The sequence below is a fragment of the Homo sapiens genome, chromosome 8, assembly GCF_000001405.40.
Source record: "Homo sapiens chromosome 8, GRCh38.p14 Primary Assembly".
In the NCBI taxonomy this organism is placed as follows: domain Eukaryota; kingdom Metazoa; phylum Chordata; class Mammalia; order Primates; family Hominidae; genus Homo; species Homo sapiens.
The window spans coordinates 5435177-5438475 of record NC_000008.11 but is presented as its reverse complement, the minus strand read 5'-3'; the positions used below and the strand labels follow the sequence as shown (position 1 = coordinate 5438475).

General features: G+C 41.6%; 1 annotated feature.

The window, feature by feature from the left end:
• Nucleotides 1484-2054: an enhancer, noted in NCBI's record as "OCT4-NANOG hESC enhancer chr8:5293944-5294514 (GRCh37/hg19 assembly coordinates)". NCBI's record gives its function as "activates a minimal SCP1, AML or CMV promoter by ChIP-STARR-seq in naive H9 embryonic stem cells {active_cell/tissue: H9 hESC(naive)}" and the evidence as "EXISTENCE:reporter gene assay evidence [ECO:0000049][PMID:30033119]".

Below are 3299 nucleotides of genomic sequence, written 5' to 3'. Positions count from 1 at the left end.
ATCACAAACTATGCTCAACTCACTCTCTACAGTTCTAACTTCCAAAATCTATTTTCTTCCTCACACCTGACACATATACTTTCTGGTCCCCCGGCTCCTTCAGCTGTACTCACTCTTTGTTAAGTCTCCCACAGTTACCATTGTTCCTGGCCCAGACTTCAATCCGGGCTCCCATGTTATTCCTGATACCACACCTGACCCCCATGACTGTATCTCTCTGATCCACCTGGCATTCATCCCATTTCCCCGTATTTCCTTCTTCCCTGTTCCTCACTCTGAACACACTTGGTTTATTGATGGCAGTTCCACCAGGCCTAATCGCCACACACCAGCAAAGGCAGGCTATGCTATAATATAAGCCACTAGCCCGCCTCTTAGAACCTCTCATTTCCTTCCCATCGTGGAAATCTATCCTCAAGGAGATAACTTCTCAGTGTTCCATCTGCTATTCTACTACTCCTCAGGGATTCTTCAGGCCCCCTCCCTTCCTTACACATCAAGCTCGGAGATTTGCCCCCACCCAGGACTGGCAAATTAGCTTTACTCAACATGCCCCAAGTCAGAAAACAAAAATACCTCTTAGTCTAAGTAGACACTTTCACTGGATAAGCAAAAGCCTTTCCTACAAGGTCGGAGAAGGCCACCACAGTCATTTCTTCCCTTCTGTCAGATATAATTCCTCTGTTTAGCCTTCCCACCTCTATACAGTCTGATAACAGACCGGCCTTTATTAGTCAAGTCAGCCAAGCAGTTTTTCAGGCTCTTAGTATCCAGTGAAACCTTTATATCCCTTACGGTACTCAGTCTTCAGGAAAGGTAGAACGGACTAAAGGTCTTTTAAAAACACACCTCACCAAGCTCAGCCACCAACTTAAAAAGGACTGGACAATACTTTTACCAATTTCCCTTCTCAGAATTCAGGCCTGTCCTCAGAACGTTACAGGGTACAGCCCATTTAAGCTCCTGTATGGACGCTCCTTTTTATTAGGCCCCAGTCTCATTCCAGACACCAGACCAACTTCGACTATGCCCCAGAAAACTTGTCATCCCTACTATCTTCTCTCTAGTCATACTCCTAGTCACCATTCTCAACTACTCACACATGCCCTGCTCTTGATTACACTGCCAGTTTACACTGTTTCTCCAAGCCATCACAGCTGATATCTCCTGGTGCTATCCCCAAACCTCCACTCTTAACTCTTAAAGTAAATAAACCTCTGCTGGCAAGACTATGCTGAACCTCCTTAGGCACTCTCTAATTAGATGTCCTGGTCCTCCCAATTCTTAGACCTTTAATACCTGTTTTTCTCCTTCTTTTATTCCATTTAGTTTTTCAATTCATACAAAAATATATCCAGGCCACCACTAATAATTCTACATGACAAATGTTTCTTCTAAAAACTCCACAATATCACCCCTTACCACAAAATCTTCCTTCAGCTTAATCCTTCCCACTCTAGGTTCCCACGCCACCCCTAATCCTGCTCGAAGCAGCCCTGAGAAACATCACCCATTATCTCTCCATACCACCCCCAAAAATTTTCGCCGTCCCAACACTTTACCACTATTTCATTTTATTTTTCTTATTAATATAAGAAGACAGGAATGTCAGGCCTCTGAGTCCAAGCTAAGCCATCATATCCCCTGTGACCTGCACGTACACATCCAGATGGCCAGTTCCTGCCTTAACTGATGACATTCCACCACAAAAGAAGTGAAAATGGCCTGTTCCTGCCTTAACTGATGACGTTATCTTGTGAAATTTCTTCTCCTGGCCCATCCTGGCTCAAAAGCTCCCCTGCTGAGCACCTCATGACCCCCGCATTCCTGCCTGCCAGAGAACAATCCCTCTTTTTCCTTTACTTACCCACATCGTATAAAACAGCCCCACCTCTATCTCCCTTTGCTGACTCTCTTTTCGGACTCAGCCCGCCTTCACCCAGGTGAAATAAACAGCCTTGTTGCTCACACAAAGCCTGTTTAGTGGTCTCTTTACACCAACGCGCGTGAAAGAAGGCAGAGGGAAAAACATAGAAATAAATGAATGTCCCCACTACTCACAACATGAATCCATAGATATCGTGTGGGAAAATAAAGAATTAATATGACAGAAAATTATCACTATAGAAATAATTATAACAAAATAAATGTTCTGTAATTAGAACAAAGAAACAGAAACTAAAACTAATAGTAAAACTGAAAATAACATGAATCATACAATGAAAAATTCTAAAAGAAATGTGAAAACAGTAAACTCAGGAAAGTATCACGAAGTTAACACCAACGATATGCGTCCAATCTGGAAAAAAAGAGTTCATAAAATGCGTCTATTTACTTGATGAATCCCTAACTAATATTCATCCATCCACTTAATAAAGGAGATGTTTCTGAAAAGTGATTTATGAGTGTTGAAAATAAACAAGAAAAATGCAGACCCACCAAATACAAACGAAAAACAGAACCACAATTTTAATATGATTAAAGGTTGAATTCAGGAGAAAGAACACTAAACAGGGCTAGGAACTGCACTTAGTGAAAAAGTCAACAATCCACATTGCAATAAAATTTTCACATTGTTAGACAGCTAAGTACCAAACAGCATAGAATTAATTGTCATAAGGCAAAAACAAAGGAACTATAAGAATAAATATGGCCGGGCGCGATGTCTCATGCCTGTAATCCCAGCACTTTGGGAGGCCAAGGTGGGCGGATCACTTGAAGTCAGGAGTTCAAGACCAGCCTGGCCAACATGGTAAAACCCCATCTCTACTAAAAATACAAAAATTAGCTGGGCGTGGTGATGCATGCACCTGTAATCCCAGCTACTTGGGAGACTGAGGCAGGAGAACTGTTTGAACCTGGGAGAGGGAGGTTGCAGAGCTGAGATCACATTGTGGCATTCCAGCCTGGATGACACAGCAAGACTCCATCTGAAAATAATACTAATAGTAATAATAATAATAATAATAATAATAATAATAATAAATATATGTAAAAAGCATTTGTTTATAATAGGGATCCACAAACTACTGGTACCTGTCTCACTGCCTCATTTTGGGGAAAAAAAAAAAAAAAAAGAAAAGAGAAAAGAAAAAAAAAGCCCTGTTGGAATCCCACTGTGGGTTTTTTCTAGATGGTCTTTTTCAATCCACAGACTGAGTTGAACAGTTGCAGTGGCGGCTGCATGGCCCACAAAACTGTACATATTTACTCTCTGGTCCTGCAGAGAAATCGTTTGCCAGCTCAAGTACTGACTAAGTTTATTATAGCCCTCAGGCAGGAAAACAAAAACAAAAACA